General features: G+C 43.1%; 1 protein-coding gene and 1 long non-coding RNA gene across 2 annotated transcripts; one reads left to right on the top strand and one right to left on the bottom strand.

Annotated features, from left to right (window-relative positions):
* Nucleotides 1-5826: 5826 nt before the first annotated feature.
* Nucleotides 5827-7876, bottom strand: SPRR5 (small proline rich protein 5). The gene is made up of 2 exons (NM_001395435.1): nucleotides 7834-7876; nucleotides 5827-6545 (listed from the first exon to the last, which is right to left on the bottom strand). The coding sequence occupies exon 2, from the start codon at nucleotides 6525-6527 to the stop codon at nucleotides 6201-6203; it is 327 nt and encodes a 108-aa protein (NP_001382364.1). The 5' UTR covers nucleotides 6528-6545; nucleotides 7834-7876; the 3' UTR covers nucleotides 5827-6200.
* Nucleotides 5872-25201, top strand: LINC01527 (long intergenic non-protein coding RNA 1527). Its single transcript, NR_183723.1, has 2 exons — nucleotides 5872-6096; nucleotides 23271-25201. It is a non-coding gene; the product is annotated as a long intergenic non-protein coding RNA 1527 (long non-coding RNA).
* The last annotated feature ends 1677 nt before the right edge of the window (nucleotides 25202-26878 follow it).

The raw sequence follows: 26878 nt of genomic DNA, 5'->3' as shown, positions 1-26878 counted from the left end.
TTCTACTTTCTGCTTCCATGAGTTTGACTTTCTAGATCCCACACATAAGTAGATCATGTGGTATTTGTCTTTCTGTGCCAAGAATGATCTATATTTGACTCTCAGCTCTTTCAGCTGGCAAAGTTTATAACCTCTTTGGTTCTTGCTTTCCTCATTTGCAAAATTAAATTTTTTACTTATATGGTAGTAATGTATATTATATAAGATAAGTATTAAGATCCCAGTATAGTGTCTTGCTTATAGTAGTAAATTGCTGCTTAAACACACATACACACACACACACACACCTGGCCCCGGAAGGTGGATGTGTTGGTTCCCTGGAGGGAGGAAAGTTAGTCCTAAGCCCGAGTGCTCTTCAAATACAGATGCATGTTTTAGCTAAGCTTTCTCTACGCCTCCATGCAGAAGCATCTGGTGGCCTTCAACCCCAGACTTACCTCTTTTAGGGTTTTCCATGATGATGAATCATTAGGCGAAGAGATTAAACACAAAGATTAGCGTGAGTCACCTCATACAGAGTCAGAACTGAAAGAAGCTTAGAAATAGTTCAGGAAGTCCAACATTGTCATGTACAGGTGAGGACACTGGGAAAAGGGAATGACTTGTCCTGGGTCCCGCAGAAGAACAGCAGAATAACTAAGACAATACTCAGCTCTCATATACTCTGTCCAGTGCTCCTAATTCAGAGCTCCAGTGTCTCCTAAGTCCACCGAAGATGAGCATTCATGTCACACACATCATCGGCCCTTGGTGGCAGAGGAGACTTGAGCCAAAGGGCTGCCTGGAGAGCCCAGGACAGGGAAAATGGTTCCCTTTTTATTTTATTTAAGAGTGAGATGGAAGCTGCATAGTCTAATTCCTGAGAGTTGACATAAAAATTCCAGAAGACAGAGGACCAAATATCAAGGGTCAGGAGTCTGGGGTAAAACAATGACTGTTCTCTGCGTATGAACAAGACCCCCAGACAACAATAACACACTTAAACATGGCATGCCGAACTGATAGCCCCAAAGTGACTGGGAGGAGTTTCAGCATAGGTGGGTATAAGCCACGCCCAGGGCGTCTTCAGTGCCAGGCATCTGTGATTCTCCCAGGAATGTCAGATTGCCAGGGCACACGTACAAACCTGCAGGAGATGGTGGAGCACACTGAAGCTGGCCGCACCCACAGGCAGGGCTTCCTTCAAAGGATGACTGACTGCCGAGTGCTGAAGCTTCATTGCAGAAATCCATTACCAGCTAGGGTCCCCCTGCTCCCCACAACCTGGGCATACACAGCAGGATGTGCATCTAGCAGTGGGGTTCCCTTTCCCTGGGGCTTGTGGAGGAGGGCATGAGGGAAAGATAGAACACCACTGCTGTCAGAAACTCTGAGCTTCAAATTTAGGACTTGAAGTTCAAGTTATTCTCATTTTTTAGCTTAGAAAGGTTAAGTTGGCCAAGATTAATACAAAAGTAAGGAAGAGGAGATTTGAGCCCAGGTCTGTCACACTCCAAGATGTGTAGGTACTCTCTTTCCTGCACCCTACCATGCCATCTTCCATGGAATTTCTTTGTTTGGAGCAGAATAAAGAGAATATGTATACAAGCACTTCTCTGATGAAGGCATACCCCCTTCGAAGCCCTCAGCATCACACTCTTCATCCTGAGACCTCTGTTCTGTGGAAATTTCACTCAAGCCAGATGGTGAGACATCCTTGCTGGAATGTGGCAGAGGCCTGGAGAAAGGGGAGAGGACAAGTCACTAGGTCACAGGAGTAGAGCTGGATTTGATGTTCTGGGGCCATGCTCAACAGTGGGAATTACAGTGTGAGTGTGTGTGTGCATCTGGGTGTCTGTGAGTGTGTGTCAGTGGGTGTAATCATACTTGAGTGTGATTGACCGCATGTGAGTGTGTGTTGGTGTGTGGTGAGCTCTCATGTGAGGGTTAATGAGCTGTATATTTGTGGGAATATGAGTGTATGTGGACAAACGTGTGAATGTGCAAGAGTGAGTGTGCACAGGGCTGATATTCAGAAGTTACATGCCGGTCTGCACAGATGTTACTGAATCCATGGTTTTAAAAATATTAAAAATATTTTGTAATAGGTGGCCAATGGCTGCCACACCAACTTCCCTTCCTGTCATGCCCTGGCACCACCCTGGTTGCTTACGCAGCCCCCCACACCATAAGGATATAAGGAGGCTGATGCATCCACAGCAGGGGGCCTCTAGGACTTGACCCCAGCTTCCACTCTCAACGCTCAATGTCAGTCTGAGAGGCGTAGATATTATTTTGATGTCTACATCAAATGATGTAAAAACATGCATGAGTATATTTGTGTACATACAAGTGTAAGTGTGTGACTGCGAACGTGCCTAGCTCTGCCTTTCTAGTGAAACAGTGGATGGTAAACTCTCAAAGGACAGGGTCCGGGCATTATGCTTCTCCTAGCCACTAGCAATGTAAGACCACTTGCTGTGTTTCAAAGAATAAGACCAGAGAGCCAGAACACACTGAGTTTGAACCTCAGTCCTACCACCTACAGGCCATTACCACTATGAGCAAATAAGTGATTTTGCTGATCCTCAGTCTTCCATCTGTCATGGCAATAATGACACCTGCCTCAATAGGGTGGAACCACCATGCAATAGGCTAATGTGCATAAATGCTGGGCAACTTCCCTGTCGGTCAAATCCCTGCTCCTGTAGGTGCTTCCTTGGCTTGTCAGCCTCAGCATGCCCTTCCTTTCATGTGTTCTCCTGGTGGGCATCATCTCCTCCTGGTGATGTGTTGCATCCTTATTTTCCTTTGAATGTTGTGTGCATCTGTGCTGCAGAAGTCCCCCACATCTTACCCTGGTAGGAGCCTTGTAAATGTCTGGTTATCTCAGAAGCCTCCAGGGAACATAGCCTGCCTCAAAAAGACACAGCTCACTTTACAAAACAACAGGTAAAAGTCACCATGAGCCATAACCACCCAGGACTGCCTTGAGGACATGATTCATTGTGGGCACGTGTCACAAAGGTGAAGATTCTGGAAGAGAAGGGCAACCACCAAATGGGGTACTTATACTGTAGACTAAATCTTGTTTCCCCATGAATACCTGCTCAGACCCTTTGCTCCACTTAACAGATCCTTGTCCCTTCCCTCAATATGTGCTCTGCTCCCTCACACTTTGTGTCACTGAAGATCTGGAGCCCATGTCCTGAGGCTGGTGGGATAAGGGGAGCGTGCCGTCTGCAGGCTTGCTGCTTGATCAGGACCTGGAGAACGGTCATCAAAACGATAGCTGAAATCTATCCAACACCTCCTAGGGTCATGCTATGTTTTCTTCTTCATTTCCATTGTCTCATTGAACACTCCCCACCCCCATCAACCCAAAGAGGCAGTTGTTTTCCCACTATACAGATGAGAAAAGTGAGACATAGAAAAGTTATGTGATTCGTTCCAGGTCACATGCAAAAGAAGGGTGGCTCTGGAATCCAAACTTAGTGTGACAGGATTCAAAGAAGAATCAGCAAGGTCACATACTTGCAGTCTTTTTCTCGTCTAAGGACATTTCTAGATTATGGCTTGCTCACTCTCGTAGCATGTGTGCACACACGGATGTATCCATGCACATGTGCACACCTGGAGATTATGATAATTAGTAGAGGAGAAAATTAAATGAAGCCTAGAGAGGAAAAACGGAACCTCGTGTTAAGTTGCTGAATCAAGTAGGGTAAGAGCCTATATGAGAGAAATCTGGGAAAGATAACATATGGAACTAGAGCAAAGAGACATTTGGAGACTGCTCAATGATATATCTGAATACGGGAAAATGTTTAAAACTTTACATCACTTCCTGGGAGTTCAGTTAAGATTTACTTAACTTTTCGCTGGTTTTCTGTATCTAAGACTTGAGTTTCTGATGAATGCAATATCTTGGGAAAAGAGTTAGGAGAAGTAGGTCACAAAAGTGGAGCCATCCCCCAAATTTCTGTGGTATACAGCAGATGTGAGCAGCCGTACTTTCCAACCACTTGGTCCTGGGGCTTCGATATATACCGGAGGGCTGGCCCTCCTGGGCACACCTGGATCCCACAGCATTGGCTCCTGCTGTATCCAGTTCTGGGATGCTCTCTGTCCTAGCCAAATCCTACTGTCCTTCCACTAGAAACTGCACCTTCTCTAGGTATTCATCACTGAACAGGCAAGTCCCTGGGAGCCCTGTGGTAGGTGCTATGACTACAGAGAGGACCAAGTTCTCCTTCCTACCCTCAACAGCTCTTACTGTTCTCATTCTGTCTGTCTCCTCTGAATTCTGAGGGCATAAGTGAGGTATTGTACCATCCATCATCCCTTCATTAGATGCTTCCTTGTCTAATTGTTCTTTATAATCTTGGGTGAGACCCAGAACCCTGTGTATCTTCATAGTGTCCACCACATTATGAGCAAACAAGAGAGGGTGCTTAATAGGGGTCCATTGATGCATGGTGGATGATGGATAAATGGATGGATGGATGGATGAATAGATGAGACCTGAAAGGCGCAGAAAGAGGTATGATGGAGGAAGAAGAGCACACCCGTCTGGGAAGCAATGGTAAAAGTTTTGGTTTTTAACTTTGCATTCTCCAGTGTCTGTAACATATGTTGGGATAATCTAGATTTTTAGTTTATATTATTGTCTTCTCTGGCTTTGTTTGCGTACTTCTGCTGGTTCTCAGTGGCTTCCCTGGTGCCCAGAGGCATGAAAGGGGAGGCAGGTATAGGAGGAGATTCTAATATATCAATCTGTGGACTATTTTGTAAGAGAGGGGTCTAGTGGAGAAACTTGGGAGAGGGTATTTGAAATAGCAGAAACCAGAAGTTTGGATTCCCTGTGGGTCTGCATTATTTGGTCACTTCAATCCCCCAGTAATTTAGAGAATTGAAAGCAGGATGGCAGTGGGGGGAAATTGTTCAAGAGAATCCCCAAACAGAAATAATGGGAGCTGATATTTTGATCAAATATTTACTGTCGGGTGTGTGTGTTGGGTATGCAGTGTTTGCATAGACTGTCTCCTAATTACATACTTGATTAGCTTGAAGAAACTTTGGCTTTTTCTTTTACCTATGGGAGAATTTTTAAGGCCTTATCTCAACTCTTTTCAGCCCTTAGAGTGTGCTCTCTGAGTTAGAACTTACCTCCCTCAATCCTTTTCCTCTACTGCGCAGGTCTTTTTGGCAGGCTCTGTTGCTCTGTCTGGGCCTAGGAGAATGCTTTTCCTTGCACATGTTCTCTGGGTGAGCACTGTCTCCCCGTGGTTCTTTCCTGCATCTTCATTTTCTGTGAATGTGGTGTGCGTCTGTGTTGCAGAAGTCCCCACCTCTTTTCCTGGTACGAGCCTTGTAAATGTCTGGGCATCTCAGAAGGCTCCTCCCCGTGCCTTCTCCTGCACCTGCATCCCACACTTGGCTCTGCTTAAGTTTTGGGTTGGGGGCAGGATAAAAAAATCTGCAGAAATGCGGTGGGGCGCGGTGATTCACGCCTGTAATCCCAGCACTTTGGGAGGCCGAGGCAGGCGGATCACGAGGTCAGGAGATCGAGACCATCCCGGCTAACACAGTGCAACCCCGTCTCTACTAAAAATACAAAAAAATTAGCTGGGCGTGGTGGTGGGCGCCTGTAGTCCCAGCTACTTGGGAGGCTGAGGCAGGAGAATGGCGTGAACCCGGGAGGCGGAGATAGCAGTGAGCCGAGATCGCGCCACTGCACTCCAGCCTGGGCAACAGAGCGAGACTCCGTCAAAAAAAAAAAAAAAAAAAAAAAACTGCAGAAATGCTACATTTTCAAACAACAAAATCATCAGACCAAGACATTCATGCCAGAGGAATTCTGTTTTAATTGTTTGAAAACAGGAGCTGAGGGGAAGCGTGGTAGGAGAAGATGCCTGTGCATGCCGCTCATGTTTCCAGCAGGGCAATGTAGATGCATGTCAGGAAAGATGATTAGATAGTTTAGAACCAGATCCTTGTCTGAGATGGAAACTGCAGCTGCTAATTAAGAAGAGTAGAGCTCGAGGAAGCCGCCAGCTGCCAGCCTGGTGCTGCCTCTCCTGCAAGTGTGAAGTGTGGCTGCATCCAGAAGCACTGGTGAGCAGGGCTTTGCTTGGCCTGTGGAGTGTAAGATGCTGGCCCAGAAGGAACTTCATGCTCTGTTTTTCCTGGGGGTTCGCCTCTGATCACATGCCCAGGGCTTACTTCTGCTTGGACGTCTGGCACTGCTGAGGGGGTGGGCACTTGGGGGCACAGGGCTCCTGGCACTTGGGTGGGGGCTGGCAAGGCTGCTTGGTCTGTTGGGGTGGGGGGCAGTACTGCTGAGGTGGAGGGCAGCACTGCTGGGGTGGGGGACAGCACTGCTGGGGAGGGGGGCAGCATTGTTGAGGCGGCGGGCAGCACTGCTGGGGTGGGGGGCAGCACTGTTGAGGCGGGGGGCAGCACTGCTGGGGTGGGGGGCAGCGCTGCTGGGGTGGGGGGCAGCACTGCTGCGGGGGAGCACACTGCTTCTGCTTCTGCTGAGACATTCTGGGCTGGACTTGCAACTGGAAACAGAAAGACACAGAAATGAGGAACACTTGAGCCATAGAGAGACCCTAAGCCCAGGTGAACCCCCTGCCACATTCCTGTCCTGCTCTGCTTTTACCTTGCCCTGATCCCTTCACAGATTTAAGAGGAGTGTGTGTGTGTGTGTGCGCGCGCGCATGTGTAAACTTTAAGTGTTTACAAGTTATTTCAACTCTTTTCAAGACAAAGAAACATGGAAGGAAGGAAAGATAGGAAAGGAGGAAGGGAGGGAAAACAGAAATGTTAGGAGGGGTTGAAAAGAAAGAAAAACATAAAAAAAGAAAAGGGAGAGAGAGGAAAAAAAAGAGGAAGAATGAAAGAGCAGACTGTTGTATCCTATTATAGCAAAACCTGTGGCATCTGGAATAAATTGCCTGGGATCTGAGTTCTGGCTAAATCATTTATTAACTATATGATTTTGAGCAACTAAGGTTTTCCATACTTACCTCTCTTAGAGTTGGTGCAAAAATTAAATGAGTATATAAAATACATACTTAAAATATGCATGCATACGTAGGTATGTATGTACCGACACACACATGCAGAGTAGTAGCACAAAATGAACACTATATAAGAGTTGTAATTTGTTAAGTAAATTCATAAACAATTTAAAAGGCGCATCTTAACCACTCTCTAAAGGAGTTTATAAAGAGAAAACTCTAGAGATAGATGAAATGGACTATCTAGCTTGCCTCTCTCAATTACAGTTGAGGAAAGCAAACCTCAGAGGGAAGGAATGGCTTCAAAGCCACTCGGCATAGATGGTGGGAAAAGAGGTCTCCTGATTCCCAGAGCAGAGCCTTCCATGGTGCCACATCGTCTTGTCCCTGCAGCCCTTTGCTCCATGGACATCCACAACTCTGCTGTCCCAAGGGAGTCTGTTCTCTTTCCTTCCTGCCTTCTCTTTTCTTTGAAAGGACAGTCCTTCCAGTTGCTCTGCCCAGAACTGGTCTCTCCTCTCCTACTAATTCCCTCTTAGCACCTGACAAGATGCAACACCCACACCATGCCAGCAGCATCGCTGAGATACTGACCCTCTTGTAGATACCCCCCTCCTTCTCCCTGCTCAGCCCAGCCTCCCACACTACTCTGCTGGATAACTTGCTGGACCCAAGATAGGTTTGTCACAAATGATATGGAAAAAAGAGGTACCCCAAAAGACCCATCCTTTCTGACCACCACCCAGAGAATCAGCCCAGTCCATAGTTGGTTAGGGATGCAGGCAAGGCAAGGCTGCTATAAGAGGTACTACCTTTCCAGACTTACCAAGGTTCACCAGCGACTGGAGCAGATAGGTGTGGAGGGGTTTGGGATGCTCTGAGCCTATCTACCTTTTATATACCTCTCATCCCTGCCTGAGGCCATGAGGTGGCCCAGGATTGGGGTGTCCTAATTAGTCCCTAGTCACAATAGGATCCACCTGTCCTTCCTCAAATTTTAAGTTTTACTCACCCCCAGGGCTGGTATGGCGGGATTTGGAGATGACAGTGCCTTCACCCTCCCCTTGCCTCATCTCCCCATCATTTTACGAGGACTGGCTTCCTTGGATTTCCAAACCCACTCATGACTTTTGACTTAGATCCCTGGCATCTAGGATGGTCCCAAGCAAGCATTCCGACCATGCTGGGTGTGGGGGTGTGAGGGCAGTGTTCTGGGATGTTCTGGTTGGCAGAGAGGAGGGGATGGGACAGGCAGCTTATGCAGGTAACATAAGAAAACAGCTGAGGGGGCAGATGGCTCTCTTGGAAACCCACCACCCTCAGCAAAGTTGTGACTTTGACTTGACCTAGGCTCAGAGTCACATTCAGCTTGAACTGGTGGGAAGACAAGACAAGAGGCTTTCATTTTTTACCTATTGTTATTTATACAAGAAATGGCAGCTGCCACTCTCTGTCTGTTCTGCTATTGGGAAAATCGTTAGGCCCCATTCGGGGAAACTGGTTGGTTACAGTAGATAGTGCTTATCTCTAAATCTCCCTACATATATCACATATCCATATGACTCCAGGGTTCCCAGGGAAATGATTATCATAAGGTGGAGGGGGTGGGGGAAGCTAAGAAGCATTGCATTAGAGTGAGCTCATGGAGGAGTCACAGTGACTGGATTCTGGGTTCTGAGCTCCTGGGGCCCCAGTCCTGGCTCTTCCTCCTAACTTCTGTTAGAAGTTCCAGGACAAAGAAGGGTGGCACGGGATACAGACTTGGATGCTTCCCATACCTGGCAAAGGATGGAGCTCATCTTTAAAAAATTCCCAAGTGGTGCTCAGACTGAGGCTCTGCCTTTTACCAGTTGGGTGACCTTAGGAACCAGATGTTTTTGCACTTCAATTTTCTCACCTGCTAAAGAGGGTAACAGCACCATTCTGCATGTCAGTTGTAAGGATTAAAATGGACAACTTATTTAAAGTATGTGCAAGTGTTTGGCACAAAATGCATGGTCAACAGTCGTTGGGTGCTCCATGGAGATGGGCTTTGAATACTAGGGCAAGACACACTCTTAGAAATATGGAATAGGAAGTTGAAAAAAGTTGGAGGCAAGTAGTGGCACTTGCCACCCAGTGTCATAAGCTCTTGGTTGAAAGAGACAGGAGGAATAAGTTCAAGGAATCCACTGGAAGTCATGTTGACTATAGTTAATAACAATATGTGACATGAAAATTGCTAAATGAGTAGATTTTAAGTGTTTTCGCCACACAAAAATGATACATATGTGAGGTAATACATGTATTAAATAGCTTGATTTAGTCATCCCACAATATATTCATATATCAAAACATCACATTGTACACTGTACATATATATAATTTTTACTTTTCCCCTAAAAATACATTAAAAAAGACTTTTGAGTGAGAGAAATGGAAATAGGCAAGCTAGTCCTGAAGATGGCACATTTTAAATCTCAGCCATGAAATTTAGCCATGGTTCCACTATTTAATAAAAGCCTTAGAACATCCCAAGACCTTGGGGAGTCATGCTGCATCACTAGAAGACACAGGTGTGGAAACCGATGTTCTCTCTCTTAAACCATGGTCCTGACTCTCTGGGATCACAAGATGTGCACGGGCTAGTAACTAAGGAGGGCCAGAGGAGTCCAGCCCTTCCCAGGAGGAGAATCCCTTCAAGCTGGTATCACTCAGACAGAAGCAGCCCCAGAAAGCCTGAGAGAGGGATTTCAGCTCAGGTCCCTAATAGCAGAGAAGAAAGACTATGTGGAGTTGTTATCCTGGGCTAACCATTTATTCATTAAGATGCAATTGTTCCATGTGCCAGGCACTATGTCCATGCTGGGGATGCAGGGGGAAGCAAGGATGGCCAGGCCCTTGCTGTTTCCAAGGCAACAGGACAGAGGGAAGCCTGGCTTGGCAAGTCTGTCCTTGTGAATCAGGCCTTTGTAGATGGGAAGGGGCACTAAAACTGTGTCACGTCCTCTTACCTTCTTACTTCCAACTCTTACAGATACTTTTCAATTGTTAGGTTTGTATTAACCAAAGAAATCAAACCCACATGTCACTGGAATGATGCCTACATGGCTGAAGAAAGTGTGAACATCAGCTAATTTGTGGGGCTTGGGGTGTTAAATCCTGTTAATTATTTTTTGTATGTGCCCCAACCACCTAGGACAGGTTTTTTTGTGTTTGTGTGTGAGTGTGGTGGAGTCAGCTACCTCAAGAATGTATAACACAGAACTGCTTCTGACACCAGAGGACAGAAAATGAATGGGTAATCTAGAAGCCACTAAGAAACCCAATTACTTATCCCAGGTTTTGGAATGGTATTAACCACTGACCTTCATTAGCATTGCTCTCTGTCTTTCTCTTTCTTCAATCCTGACTCACACACACACACACACACACACACACACACACACACGCACACACACACACACACACACACACACACACATGCATGCACATTTACACATAAACACAGGGGTCTTTCCTATACTCTGGCCCCAAGTATTTATGGGGGCATAAGGCCAGCATGCAGTAAAGTTGATGAGATGGAAGGTGGTATCTTCTGCCAATTTTTTTTTTTTTTGACAGAGTCTCACTCCGTTGCCCAGGCTGGAGTGCAGTGGCACGATCTCGGCTCATTGCAACCTCTGCCTCCCGGGTTCAAGCAATTCTCCTGCCTCAGCCTCCCAAGTAGCTGGGATTACAGGCATGTGCCATCATGCCTGGCACACCCGGCTAATTTTTGCATTTTCAGTAGAGATGAGGATTCGCCAAGTTGGCCAGGTTGGTCTCAAACTCCTGACCTCCAATGATATGCCTGCCTCGGCCTCACAAAGTGCTGAGATTATAGGCATAAGCCACCATGCCCGGCCTCTTCTGTCAATTCTCAAAACATGTGAACATACCACCTACCATAGGTTCCTATCTGCCGGGAAATGACTTCCCACATCTGCGTTGCTCCCATATGGCTAAGGCACAACATGGCTCTTGAGGACATCATTTTCCTCTTCAGATTTTCTTAGGAGTTCATCTCCTCCTTATTTCACTTTCATAAACATGAACTTGATGGTGAGGTGGCAGGGATGGAGGTGTATACTAGGGGCAGGGGTGGGTGGCCCTGCCCCCCAGGATGCCTCTGACTTGTGAATAGACACCCACTCGCTTGGCTTCTAGTTCTGGGCACTTGCAGAACATCCAACCTGAGAAAGACCAGGACCTATCTGGGCAGAGGGTAAGGGCAAGAGCTTAGCAGTGTTCCAGTCACTCAGCACATGTGCAGGAGGCAAACCCCACGCCAAGTCCTGTGGGGGATGGGGAGCTGTGTGACACATAGAGCCAACCCTCTCAGAGCTCATGATCTTCTTGGGGAAATAAGGCCAGACCAGCTATGACAGAGGAGCTGGTGCTGGCAGCCAGCATTGTGAGCCAGGACCTGAGGGGTGATATGGAACAAGGGTGGTGAAGGAGCTCAGAGGAGAGGTCAGCCTCTGAGATGGGCCTGATGTTGGCAGAAAGGCACTGGGGAAGACAGAAAATGACCCTTAACTGTGGGCCCTTTGTGGGAAGAAACACTGACTTCATCTTTGTATCCTAGCACCTAGCAAAACTATGGTTCAGAATTGAAGCTAAATTGTTTTCTGTGAAATTAATGAAAGAATGGTCTGAGAAACTGTTTGAGGGTAGAAAGATGCTTTGTGTGTCTGGAAAAAGAAGAAGTCAACATGAGTGTAGTGGCTGAGCAGTGGTGATGAGCACTGGGCAGTGGACATGAGACCAGACCCCAGCGAAGGCCTTGCACTCTAGACTAGCCAGGAGAGCTGAAATTGCAGGGTGGGAGGCTGGGTCCTGTTTCTAAACAGTGCAGAGGTTACCTTTAGGGTGGAATCTTCTACCAATGTTATAATGTATAGTATAATGTATAGTTTTCAAAATTCTATTGATTATAATAAGGAGGTGGACAGGCACTAGTGTATATTTAGAAGGCCTGGGTGTTCTAGCTTCTAGCTTGGCCGGTAATTGTGTGCTTTTGGATGGTTGGTTTCCACTCTCCGGGGCTCAGGTTTTCTATTCTGTAAAGAGAATCATCCCCAAGGTCTGTGCCAGGTTTGAGCACAGTATAATTTTCCCAAAGGAGGGACAAGACTGAAAGTATTCTGGGGATGGATTTGACAGTGGAACTCAGGGTGAGGTGGGGTAGGAGTGAGGATGCACGAGATGGAGGCAGGGAGACCAGTTGGGAGGGAAGAAATGATAGGGCCCTCACCTAGGATGGCAGCAATAGAAGTGGGGAGGGAAGACAGGCTTAAGAATGACTTGAAATGAGAAAACCCAGGACTGGAGGACTGAGAGGAAGGAAGGAAAGGGAAGGAGGAGGCAAGGGGACCTCATGATTCTAAGTGACAAAAATGGGGCATACAGATATTAGGCCTGAGAGGAGGGAAAAAAAAGACATTTGCTTACACACATTGTGTCTGACAGAGCAGAATACCCAGGAGAAGCAGCAGGGCAGCTGGAGAGGAGGGAGTGATGTCAGGGATGTCACCTGCTGGGCACCAGATTTGTGCCAAGCACTAGAAAATAAATGACAGAAGCATAAGCAAAGAAGCTTTAGGCCCCAGAAGGTCCAGTCCTCTGCCCTGGTAGCAGAGGCAGAGGACTGGTCTGTCGGTCAAGGACCACAGAGTGCCCTGGACTAACAGGTGCCAGAGCTGGAAGGAGCCCAGTAATCAGGAAAAAAACATTCCCAACTCTCAACCCAAGCACTGTGCCAACACCGGATGACATTCTCAACAAGCCACAGAGAAATGAGAAATGTTTCTGCCCACAGGGGTCCACAGTCTGGGGGCCTTTCCTGTCTTCCCCAGTGCCTTGCTGCCAACACCAGCCCCATCTCAGAGGCTGACTTCTCCTCTGAGCAGTTGGTATAAGGTTATTTTATAGCAGTTGGTATAAGATTAGTGGCTTTTATTTCTTTGGAAGGTCTTTTGTTTATTTTTTGATGCTATATTCTTTTCACAGTTACTAGTACTAAAATTATCTTTATTTTGTAAAGTGATGGTTGTTACAAAGGGCCTTTGCCCTTACTTGGCAAAATAAAGAGTTGTTCCTTATTGACTATTTTTTTTAAAATTTAGGTTTAGTGAAACCCAAACACCTAAGAACCACTAATGTGGTCTCTCAAGCCTAATCACTAACAAATATGGAATAGGTGAATGAAAAAAGAGAAATGACTTACTTGAGGTCACATTTTATAAGATGCCATAGAGAGGGCTTGACCGAAACCCAAAGCCAACCAACCAACCAAACAAATGAGGACTTTGGGTGATGTCAGAATCTCAGCTGGAAATTCTCCCCTCCTGGCATCCCTGTTCCTAAAAGCCAGGCCTTTGCAGAGGTGGCAGGACCAGGCTTATCATAGCAGCCACACCCCATCCCTCCCGACTCCTCCCAGACTCTCCAGGACACAGTGTGAAGCTCTGGTCCATCCCTCTCAGCCTGGGAGACATGCTGTGGCCTGCATGGTGACTTCACTGAGACAGAACCCAGTCCGGCTCATGCCTCCTCTGCCTTTGCCCAGTCTCTCAGATCCTGGAGGATTAACTCTTTCATATCACCCACTCTCTTACCGACTCCTAGGGAGCCTTTAGTCGTGGGTCAGGAGCAGTTCATCTCCATGGCCCCCACAGCCACCTGGCTTTACCATGCCCAGACCCAGTGACTTGACCATCGTGAGAGAGGAGTACCGGGGTACTTTGATGCCCCAGCAGACCAAGACATACCCTCATCCTGTATGGCCTCATGCTATGGAATGAAGTCCCTGAAGGACTGAAATTCTGCAGTTCTGCCTCCAGGAGGCTCCTGCTTTCTGTGGTGATCTCTTTCATGCCCATGGTGTGAAATGCCACCTTTCCTCGAAGGACCAGCAACTTTTTATCCCTAGATCCCCAGGCTGGGCCTCTACCTTGTCCTTCAGATCCACCATATATCCAGTTGCTGCCTCAATATCTCCGTTTAGGGCACAATGATGTTTTGATCTATGCAAACATATATTACACCCCATAAATTAATAAATATGTGTATGTAATTATTTGTCAATTTAAAAATAAATACATTTATTTTAAAAACCTTTATCTAGTGTTTCAAAGGCTCATTGATTTCAGCATGTCCAGGACTGAACTTCTCATCCCTTCCCCCTGCTCTCGCCACACCTACCATCCTCCTGGCAGCCCTGGCAGCAGCTGGGAACTACCTCTAACTACATCCACTTGCCAAGTCCCATTGACCCATCTCTAGGTCACTGCCCTAGGCTGTCCTGGCTTTACCAGCTCTTGCCTTCACTGCTGAAGAGGTCCCTTGCCCATCCCCTTGTCTACAGTCTCTCTCTCTGCAAACTCTCTTCTACATAGAAGCCAAAATGATTGTTTTAAAAGGCAAACATAAGATAATTTCTTGTTTTTAGGAAATATACACTGAAATATTTAGGGGCAAAGGGGCATCATATCTTCAGTTTACTCTCAAAATGTTCAGGAAAAGAAAAGAAAACATATACCAGTATTCAAAGGGAATGCTTCCAGTTTTCGCCCATTCACTATGATATTGGCTGTGGGTTTGTCATAGATAGCTCTTATTATTTTGAGATATGTCCCATCAATACCTAATTTATTGAGAGTTTTTAGCATGAAGCGTTGTTGAATTTTGTCAAAGGCCTTTTCTGCATCTATTGAGATAATCATGTGGTTTTTGTCTTTGATTCTGTTTATATGCTGGATTACATTTATTGATTTGCGTATATTGAAACAGCCTTGCATCCCAGGGATGAAGCCCACTTGATCATGGTGGATAAGCTTTTTGATGTGCTGCTGGATTCAGTTTGCCAGTATTTTATTGAGGATTTTTGCATCAATGTTCATCAAGGATATTGGTCTAAAATTCTCTTTTTTGGTTGTGTCTCCACCCAGCTTTGGTATCAGGATGATGCTGGCCTCATAAAATGAGTTAGGGAGGATTCTCTCTTTTTCTACTGATTGGAATAGTTTCAGAAGGAATGGTACCAGTTCCTCCTTGTACCTCTGGTAGAATTCGGCTGTGAATCCATCTGGTCCTGGACTCTTTTTGTTGGTAAGCTATTGATTATTGCCACAATTTCAGAGCCTGTTATTGGTCTATTCAGAGATTCAACTTCTTCCTGGTTTAGTCTTGGGAGGGTGTATGTGTCCAGGAATTTATCCATTTCTTCTAGATTTTCTAGTTTATTTGCGTAGAGGTGTTTGTAGTATTCTCTGATGGTAATTTGTATTTCTGTGGGATCGGTGGTGATATCCCCTTTATCATTTTTTATTGCGTCTATTTGATTCTTCTCTCTTTTCTTCTTTATTAGTCTTGCTAGCCGTCTATCAGTTTTGTTGATCCTTTCAAAAAACCAGCTCCTGGAGTCATTAATTTTTTGAAGGGTTTTTTGTGTCTCTATTTCCTTCAGTTCTGCTCTGATTTTAGTTATTTCTTGCCTTCTGCTAGCTTTTGAATGTGTTTGCTCTTGCTTTTCTAGTTCTTTTAATTGGGATGTTAGGGTTTCAATTTTAGATCTTTCCTGCTTTCTCTTGTGGGCATTTAGTGCTATAAATTTCCCTCTACACACTGTTTTGAATGTGTCCCAGAGATTCTGGTATGTTGTGTTTTTGTTCTCGTTGGTTTCAAAGAACATCTTTATTTCTGCCTTCATTTCGTTATCTACCCAGTAGTCATTCAGGAGCAGGTTGTTCAGTTTCCATGTAGTTGAGTGGTTTTGAGTGAGTTTCTTAATCCGGAGTTCTAGTTTGATTGCACTGTGGTCTGAGAGACAGTTTGTTATAATTTCTGTTCTGAAATTATAACATTTGCTGAGGAGAGCTTTACTTCCAACTATGTGGTCAATTTTGGAATAGGTGTGGTGTGGTGCTGAAAAAAATGTATATCAGGTCCGCTTGGTGCACAGCTGAGTTCAATTCCTGGGTATCCTTGTTAACTTTCTGTCTCATTGATCTTTCTAATGTCGACAGTGCGGTGTTAAAGTCTCCCATTATTATAGTGTGGGAGTCTAAGTCTCTTTGTAGGTACAAGACAGTGATGCCCTCTCTCACCACTCCTACTCAACATAGTGTTGGAAGTTCTGGCCAGGGCAATTAGGCAGGAGAAGGAAGTAAAGTGTATTCAATTAGGAAAAGAGGAAGTCAAATTGTCCCTGTTTGCAGACGACATGATTGTATATCTAGAAAACCCCATTGTCTCAGCCCAAAATTTCCTTAAGCTGATAAGCAACTTCTGCAAAGTCTCAGGATACAAAATCAATGTACAAAAATCACAAGCATTCTTATACACCAATAACAGACAAACAGAGAGCCAAATCATGAGTGAACTCCCATTCACAATTGCTTCAAAGAGAATAAAATACCTAGGAATCCAACTTACAAGGGATGTGAAGGACCTCTTCAAGGAGAACTACAAACTGCTGCTCAACGAAATAAAAGAGGATACAAACAAATGGAAGAACATTCCATGCTCATGGGTAGGAAGAATGAATATCGTGAAAATGGCCATGCTGCCCAACGTAATTTATAGATTCAATGCCATCCCCATCAAGCTACCAATGACTTTCTTCACAGAATTGGAAAAGACTACTTTAAAGTTCATATGGAACCAAAAAAGAGCCCACATTGCCAAGTCAATCCTAAGCCAAAAGAACAAAGCTGGAGACATCATGCTACCTGACTTCAAACTATACTACAAGGCTACAGTAACCAAAACAGCATGGTACTGGTACCAAAACAGAGATATAGATCAATGGAACAGAACAGAGCCCTCAGAAATAATGCCGCATATCTACAACTATCTGATCTTTGACAAACCTGACAAAAACAAGCAATGGGGAAAGGATTCCCTATTTAATAAATGGTGCTGGGAAAACTGGCTAGCCATAAGTAGAAAGCTGAAACTGGATCCCTTCCTTACACCTTATACAAAAATTAATTCAAGATGTATTAAAGACTTAAACGTTAGACCTAAAACCATAAAAACCCTAGAGGAAAACCTAGGCATTACCATTCAGGACATAGGCATGGGCAAGGACTTCATGTCTAAAACACCAAAAGCAATGGCAACAAAAGCCAAAATTGACAAATGGGATCTAATTAAACTAAAGAGCTTCTGCACAGCAAAAGAAACTACCATCAGAGTGAACAGGAAACCTACAAAATGGGAGAAAATTTTCGCAACCTACTCATCTGACAAAGGGCTAATATCCAGAATCTACAATGAACTCAAACAAATTTACAAGAAAAAACCAAACAACCCCATCAAAAAGTGGGTGAAGGACATGAACAGACACTTTTCAAAAGAAGACATTTATGCAGCCAAAAAACACATGAAAAAATGCTCACCATCACTGGCCATCAGAGAAATGCAAATCAAAACCACAATGAGATACCATCTCACACCAGTTAGAATGGCAATCATTAAAAAGTCAGGAAACAACAGGTGCTGGAGAGGATGTGGAGAAATAGGAACACTTTTACACTGTTGGAGGGACTGTAAACTAGTTCAACCATTGTGGAAGTCAGTGTGGCGATTCCTCAGGGATTTAGAACTAGAAATACCATTTGACCCAGCCATCCCATTGCTGGGTATATACCCAAAGGACTATAAATCATGCTGCTATAAAGACATATGCACACGTATGTTTATTGCAGCACTATTCACAATAGCAAAGACTTGGAACCAACCCAAATGTCCAACAATGATAGACTGGATTAAGAAAATGTGGCACATATACACCATGGAATACTATGCAGCCATAAAAAATGATGAGTTCATGTCCTTTGTAGGGACATGGATGAAGTTGGAAATCATCATTCTCTGTAAACTATTGCAAGAACAAAAAACCAAACACTGCATATTCTCACTCATAGGTGGGAATTGAACAATGAGAACACGTGGGAATTGAACAATGAGAACACATGGACACAGGAAGGGGAACATCACACTCTGGGGACTGTTGTGGGGTGGGGGGAGGGGGAAGGGATAGCATTAGGAGATATACCCAATGCTAAATGACGAGTTAATGTGTGCAGCACACCAGCATGGCACATGTATACATATGTAACTAACCTGCACATTGTGCACATGTACCCTAAAACTTAAAGTATAATAATAATAAAATAAAAAATAAAAAAAACAAAAAAGAAAAGAAAACATATATATATATATAAAATCTATATTACATGTGTTTGATATACACATGATATATACATGTATCTGTACATGTAAATTCATATACAGAGGGAGAGAGAGAGAAAGATCAACACTTAGGAGTCTGGCTGAATCTGTGTGAAAGGTGTTAAAGAATCTTTATATTAGTCTTGAAACGTTTCTCTAAGTCTGAAATGTCAAAGTAAAAATTTTCAAATGTAAATGAGACCACGTCATTCTCCAACACAGAATCTCTCAAAGGCCCCTCATTTCCTCTACCTACAGAATAAAGTCTGGATTCTGTTAGGATATGGCTTGCCTACCTCTCCTGCCTGATCTTAGCACTCCCTGGTTCAGGCTTTACGCCCCATCAATAAGGACCTGCTTGTCATTCCCAGAAGGTAGCCTGAATTCTTTGCTCACATAATCTTGCTGCTGGACATCCCTGAAAGCCCACCTGGGCCTTGCTGGCCACTGGATGAGAAGCCAGAGGATGCAAACTTAGAATGTTCGAAGGAGGTAGATGAGCTTCCAGTTTCTCCAAAACCTTTTCCTTCTAGATGGTTATTGTTGTTTCCCTTTTTGTTATGGGTGGCTCCCCTATCCCTGGAATACAGACACAAGGGTTTCTGAGGAGAAGCCTGTGATTCTAAATGGAAAAAGACAGGTGCAGAGAACATAAGGAGTGTCTTGGTGACATTAGATCTCCCAATAAGACCACTGGAGCTTTGGTTTTATCTCCCGTCACTCAAAGGACAGGATAGTCGTCATCTAATCTGGCCCTGCTCCCCTCCTGATTTCCTTAAAAGAGATAACTTAACCTCCAGTGAGTCTCCTTTGAAGAGGGAGCAATAAGCCCTTAGACTTCAGTGCATCAGGTTAGTTTAAGCTGGAGGCCAAAGGCATTTGAGCGCTTGTACTTGTGAGTGTCCAGGGTGGGGAGCAGGAGTAAGTCAGATGAGCTGCACCTGCCTTCTTCCTCTAGGACTCCACTTTTCACCCCAGCTCTGGGGTTGCCTACTAGTTACTTATCTTAAAAAGCATTTATGAGACAGCTCCTCCTCCAATCAAGATGACATTCTGCTAAGCTCCAGTGACAGAGGAGGAAGGATATTCAATGGCCTGAAAAGAGTCACAGTCATAGATAAGTCCCAAATGATAGCACATATAGATCTATAGGATGTCCTATAGATGTCCTATAGGGCATCTTCTTGTATATTCTCTGACCTGGGAGAGACCAGTTGAGCTCAGGTCTCTGTTTCCTCAGGAGCATTCGGGAGGACCACATACCTCCTGCTAGATTTAGGTCTGATGACCTAAAATGCAACCTTACAATGTTAAAATACAGTCTTGCTTCCTGGTTCCTGAGAAAATTAGGAGAAACACATGAAATAAGCAATTTGAAATATAATTCCATTTTGGGCAGTAAATAATCAGACATAAGAGCTGGGGTTTGGTCTCTCATAGGCATGAAACAAGACAATGCTACAAAGCATGGGAGAGAGGATCCCAGGTGTGGGTCCCAGGAGCCTTTGGTCCCACTACCCATGGCTCCTGGCTTCTGGCTAACTTCTCTCTGCTCTTAGCAGTGAAACTGGGGCTGAGTAGAAGGAGGCAGTGGTGGCTCCCTCCCTTTTTCCTCCTCCTTTTCCATGCACACCCTTCAGCCAGGACAATACAGGCAAGTGGGTGTGTGGAACCCAGACAAGCAGGTATCATGCTTGCTTCCAGGAAGAGAGATTAGGCTCTGTGTCTGGAATTCTGGGTCATAGCAAGGTTCTGTGAGGGTGGGTCTCTCTATAGTCAGCTACACACCTACACACACACACACACACACACACACACACACTCAGTTCGTCCCCACTACTATCTTCTATGTAGGGGGCTTTCTTCGTGCGCCGTGTCCTTTGCTAGGCACTGGGGGAATAAACAAAATGCACCTCCTGGGTATTTGTTGAGCACCTACCATGTATCTAAGCACAGAATCAGGTGCCATGCAAATGGAAGCCATGTAAAAAGATCCTGTCCTCAAGCTGCTGGAATCTAGCTGAATAAAATGAAAGCAAGCCAATGGGGGAGCTCATTTTTTATGGAAATATAGAATTCTAGGTTTCTATTGAGAATCAGGCTATAGACAGAGGAATAATACTCTCTGAGAAGAGGAAGAGACCTCAAAAATCTGCTCACAAAAGAATGGAATTCTGGAAAGTTGGAGTGAATGAACTGGGGATAGCCAGGGGTGCACTCACAAATTGTTCTGTTTTCTTCCATCATCACGGTAGGTCCAGGAAGAAGAGAGTAGAGCTGACCTCTGGCTGAGGACCTCAGGCTGAGGACCTTAAGGAGGTCGATAAGAAAGCCCTACTAGCGATGGGAGCAGCTGGGGAGGTCATTTGGATATGGTCTAGGGTGGGAAGGATGTGAGTGGAGGAAACCTCACAGGCTGGAACAGGGCTGTGGTTGGAGTTTCCCAGAGGCAGCAGAGCCTAGAGCGATAGACAAAGAGCAAACAGGAGTACTGTCTGGCCAGGAGGTCAAAGATAAGTTAAGAAACATGTTAGTGCTCTTGGAAATGAAGCGTGGATGCCAGAAGAAGGGCTGGGAACATAATGAGATGTCAGCTACCTCCATTTTAAATGAACAGCGTCTGATATTCTGAGTTTCTCACAGATCCAAAAAGAAAAAAAAATGATATTGAAACACAAAATCAGACAGCATCTTCTCCATGAAGCTTTTCTCATCTGCAAGGAATGTATCTGCCTAAATAGAGACTCTCTCACTTCCATAGCCTTTCCCAGATCTACTAGGATATGTAGAATATTCTTGGTTCTTGAGACATTTGGGTATATGATTTGTTAACCCCAATAGTGTTAAACCCTTGAGGACAGACCACAAATGTCCTCCCCAAGACTAACACAGAGCCAGGCCCAAATAAGGTCCCAGAAATGTTCCAGAAGTCAAGTCATGCTGATCTCAATGAATGAGACCAGCAGCTGAGGGGAATTTTGTTTTGGGGAAGGTGAAACAGTAGTTTCAATAGTAGCAAGCTCAAACTAATATGGGGCTAAACATGATCAATATTTGTTGAATGAATGGTCCATATAGAAGGTTATGGGAGGCTGGGGTGAAGGAGATAGTCATATAGGCAACAGCTTCTTTACTCTCTATCCCAGAAGAGGTGCACCTATGCACACACACACACACCCCTACCTCATACTATGCACACATACATCACACACACATGTGACAAACACATATGCAAAACACACACACACACACACATGCACACACACACACACACCAGCCCCCTCACATGCATACTTACAGGCTTGGGTGTGTGAAGACTTTTCTGTGTTTACAGCTAAGTCTGTTTCTCTTCAAGGAAGGCTATAAAAAGAATGCCACCTTCATGACTCAAGTCCCGGATTTGCCTCTCTGGGCTCCTCCTTTTGTTGTGTGGCTACTCAAGAACTTGTTCTCACAGCTGGCCCATGGGTCTATGCAGGGGTGTGGTCTTGAATGCCAACAACATAGAATGGCTATTTGCATGGTAAGTCCACTTCAGGACTGTGGGAAAAGAGTGATATGGAAACAGAGGGCTCAGCTAGATGTACTTCAAAAAATCGATTCACTCAATGAGTAGTGAGACCTGCTATGTTTCAGGCACTGAACTATGCACTGAAAATTCAGAGATACATAAGACTTAAGTTTTTGCTCTATAAGTCAGAATCTAAAGTAGATAACAGACTAAGCAAATGATTTCAATCATATATAGTAAATGCTATGATAGAGTAATTTAGAGGTTGTTATAGCAGGTAAGGGATATAAACCAGCTAGGTGACATTGCCAAAGGCTTCCTGGAGGGGGTAACTCCTGCTAAGTCTTGTCTCCTCAATGGTGACATGGTGAGTTGAAGTCAAGGACACCCTCCCTTTTTCCCTAAGTGTTCCTTGATTTGGGGGATGACTTTACCCATCCCTCTGCCTCAGGAAAGTCTTTTCTTTCCACATGTTCCTCTCCACCCATACCTAATGCTCTAGCAAACCATTCTATTATTTCATCATCATCCAAAAGAGGCTGAGAATTTGGCATCTGTGGGGAGTGCCCAGAAATTGGCCTAAGGCACTGACTGATTTCTAGGCTCATAAACTGCAGGATGGGGCCTGGTCCTCTTGCTACATCTCAAAGGTCTTTGTGAGGCCAGTCAGGTGGGGAGAAGTGAGAGCTACAAGCACACACGACATGTGGAAAACTCAGTTCACAGAGAGTTGGGTATTAGTCAGAAACAAATACTGACTGAGTGCCTACCATGCACTGGCCACCTTCTTTTTTCTTTCATTGAGGTAAGATTACTTAACACGAGATCTACCCTTTTAACAATTTTTCAAGTACCCAATGTACTATTGTTAACCACAGACATTATGCTGTACAGTAGATTTCTAGCACTTGTTCATCTTGCATAATCGAAACTTTATACCTGTTAAGCAGCGACTCCTTATTTCCCCCACCCCAGCTCCTAGCAACCACCATTCTGCTGTTTGTTTCTATTGCTTCTATGAGCTTGACTATTTTAGATACTTTATATAAGTGGAGTCATGCAGTATTTGCCCTTCTGTGATTGGCTTATTTCACTTATAATGTCTTCAAGTTTCCTCTATGTTATAACATATTACAGGATTTCCTTCTTTTTTAGAGAGTAAATAATATTCTATTGTATGTTTATGCCACATTTTCTTTATCCATTCATCTATTGATGGAGATTTTAGGTTGTTCCCACATTTGGCTATTGTGAGTAATGCCACAATGAACATGGGAGTGCAGACATCTCTTTGAGATCTTGGCTTAAATTCTTGCTATAAGCCCAGAAGGGGGATTGCTAGATCATATGGTGGTTCTATGTTTAATTTTTTGAGGAATCTTCATATTGTTTTATACAGTGGCTGCACCGTTTTACATTTTTACCAATGGTGTACAAGGGTTTCAATTTTTCTGCATTCTTGTCAACGCTTATCTTTTTTTTTTTTTTAGAAAATAATTGATTAGAAAGAGAAAGAGACTGAAAATGTCATAAATGAGGAGATAATTGGAGAAAATCATTGTGAAGAGGTATGAATGGATGGCAACACAAATGGAGTAAGACTTAAAGAGATATAAGCCTACCAAATGCTGACATGATTTTTGTGAGTTGTGAAGATTTAAAGAAATCTGTTTGAATAACAATTTTTGAGGCTACCTATAAATTTGTGTTCATTACTTCCACTAAGCAAGGTTCTTTTGATTATTCTTTGATCATTGAAATGTTTTATATTTTATTTAATTTACAGCAACAAAAATAACTCTTGAGAAGAAATAAATGTGAACCTATGGAGATAATTATTTAGTAATGTTTGAAATATATGATTTAGAACATTTCATTGCACTTATTAATGAGTATAAGAATATTATGAAAACAGAAAAATAATGAGCCTTGTAAGAGTTCACACAATTATTTTATGTAATTGGTATTCTATATTCAAGGAGAGCTTGAATGCAGAAATTAAAGAAGCATATGCTCATTTGAAAAGAGACAAATCTAGTAGTGTAATTAAAGCTTGTGCCTTATAACACAATAAAAATATTCAGAAGGATTTTATCCTTAATTGTGACATAAAATGATTTCTAACCTTTATTTTTTGAGTCAGAAAAAACGGAGGAAGCATGGGTTCTTCTTTGCTATATGAAATCAAAGTAACTTTACAAATTTGAAGTGCTTAGTTATCTAAAATCATATCATGGAAAGATATATATTTATATTTTGATTGTTTTATGTATGTAACTTTTTAAAGATCAGAGTGATCTGGGCAAGAAACCAGTGCTATCAGCCAGTATTGCATTTTGTTTACATGTAATAGAAATCCAACTAAACAAGGATTTTATTTTCATCATGTTACAGAAAGTTAGGATATAGGAAGTCCTTCCTTGTAGTTGCTCAAGGAAATCATGAAGGACCAAGTTTATTCTAGCTTCCTGCTCTGCCACCTTTAGCAAGTGGACAGTCCCCCTACCTCTCATAGGCAATGAACTTCTTCATATCCAAGCATGTGCTTAGGGCAGAAGAAAGGGATTGGTGAGAACAAAAATCACATGCCAGTGAAGTCTGTTCATCTTATATTAGGAAATAATAGCTCCTGCAAATGTCTTACTTGATAGGCTTCTACCACTGGAACTGCCTCACATGACTACCACTAGATAGAATGGAATCTGGCTTGATGAGTATTTTTAAGTGGATACATTTACTTCCTAAACAAAACCAATATTCTATTAATAAAAGAGAAAGGAAGAAAGATTCTTGTAAGGCAGCTAATATTTCTGTCACACAGAGAAAAACAAATTGATAATGCAGTACAAGGTTGATATTTTAAGGTAGAGATTTTTAGCTTGAGCATTTAGCATCCATTTGTTCTTTTAATGTAAATGTCAAACAAAATACAAAAATCGTATGTATAATTACCAAAAACTATTTAAAAGTAAATTTATAATTCACTCAATAGAGTAATATAGATTAAATAATTTTTGTAAAATTTAACGTGTTTTTGCTTTCAAAAAATACAAAAGATAAAAAAAGAATATACAGCTAAACAGTCTATATGGAAAAAACCATAAAAGTGTCAAAAGTAAGATGATGGCTTATGAAAATTACATTTTTACATTTATGGATGTGACCTGAATGTAAATGTAAGTAAATTGTAAATGTATTATAAATGAATGTAAAAACCAAAATAAAGTTGTTTATTGGCAAGATTGATTTAAAAAAAAGAAAATAACGGGTGCTAGGTGATATTTTGTTGTGGTTTTGATTTGCATTTTTCTGATGATTATTAATGTTGAGCATCTTTTTGTATACCTATTGGCCATTTGCATGTCTACTCAGGTTCTTTACCAATTTTTAAATAAAGTTATTATTATTTTTGCTATTGAGTTGTAAGAGTTCCTGATATATTTTTGATATTAACCCCTTATCAGATATATTGTTTGCAAATTTTTTTTCTCATTCTGTAAGTTGCCTTTTCTCTGTTGATTGTTTCCTTTGCTGTGCGTAAGCTTTTTAATTTGATGAAATAATAAAGCACACAAAAAATAAATGGAAAGACATCTGTGTTCACGGATTGTAAGACAATATTGTTAAAATGTTCATACTGCACAAAGCAATCTACAGATTCATTGCAATACCTATCAAGATCCCAATGGCATTTTTTACAGATATAGGAAAAATAGTCCTAAAATTTATATGGAATCACAAAACACCCCAACTAGCCAACACATTCCTTGGAAAAAAGAACAAAGCTGGAGGCATCACACTTCCTGGCTTCAAAATACATGACAAAGCTATTGTAATTAAAAGTGTGTTACTGGCATAAAAACAGACATATATATCAATGAAACAGAATGGAGGGTCGAGAAATAAACCCACACATCTATGGTCAACCAATCTTCAACAAGGTTGTCAAGAATATATGATGGGGAAAGAATAGTCTCTTCAATAAATGTTATTGGGAGAGTTGGATATCCACATGGAGAAGAATGAAACTGGGCCCTTATCTTATACCATACACAAATATAAACTCAAAATAGATTAAGGATTTATATGTAAGATCTGAAAGAGTAAAACTCCTGAAAGAAAACAAAGGGGAAAGCTTCATGACATTGGTCTTTGAAATTATTTTTTGGATATGACACCAAAAACACAAGCAACAAAAGTGAAAATAGACAAATGGAACTACGTCATATTGAGCACTTTCTAGGCACAGAGAACACAAGGTACATGTTATAAAACCCACATGGTCTTTTTTCTCCCAGAGCTTACATCCTGGTGGGGGAAAAACAGATGATAAGCACATACACGATCAAGTAACAAAAAACTAAATAACGTAATTTCAGATGAGTAATGAGGGCTATGAAGAAACTACGATGTGGTAATGTTTAACTAGGATGGTCAACAAGGACTCTGTGAAACAAAGACACAGAAGCAGGGCCTGAATGATGGGATATGGTCACACAAAGGTCTGAGGACAAAGGCAGAGGAAGAGCAAGTGCAAAGGCCCTAAGACAGGCAGGTCTTGGTGTGTTCAGCAAGGACTGTATGACTACAGCAGGGTGGATGAAGAGCAGGGACTTCCCAAAGCCAAGCAGGGACCACTCCCCCAGGGTATGGGGGCTGTGGAGAGATCTGAGCTTGTAGTGACTTGATCTGAGTTTTGTTTGAGAAATGTTGCTCTGATTGCTCCTGGAAGTTAGGCTGAACCAAGGCAATTTTTTTTTCCTTTTTTTCTTTTATTATTATACTTTAAGTTTTAGGGTACATGTGCACATTGTGCAGGTTAGTTACATATGTATACACGTGCCACGCTGGTGCGCTGCACCCACTAACTCGTCATCTTGCATTAGGTATATTTCCCAATGCTATCCCTCCCCCCTCCCCCAACCCCACAACAGTCCCCAGAGTGTGATGTTCCCCTTCCTGTGTCCATGTGATCTCATTGTTCAATTCCCACATATGAGTGAGAATATGTGGTGTTTGGTTTTTTGTTCTTGCGATAGTTTACTGAGAATGATGATTTCCAATTTCATCCATGTCCCTACAAAGGACATGAACTCAT

Source organism: Homo sapiens, chromosome 1 (genome assembly GCF_000001405.40).
Source record: "Homo sapiens chromosome 1, GRCh38.p14 Primary Assembly".
NCBI lineage: Eukaryota > Metazoa > Chordata > Mammalia > Primates > Hominidae > Homo > Homo sapiens.
Note: the sequence above shows the minus strand (reverse complement) of the source record. Positions and strands in the feature narration are given on the sequence as shown.

Coding starts and splice junctions, on each gene's coding strand:
- SPRR5 (NM_001395435.1), bottom strand. CDS start 6,527: ATGTCTCAGCAGAAGCAGAAGCAGTGTGCTCCCCCGCAGCAGTGCTGC.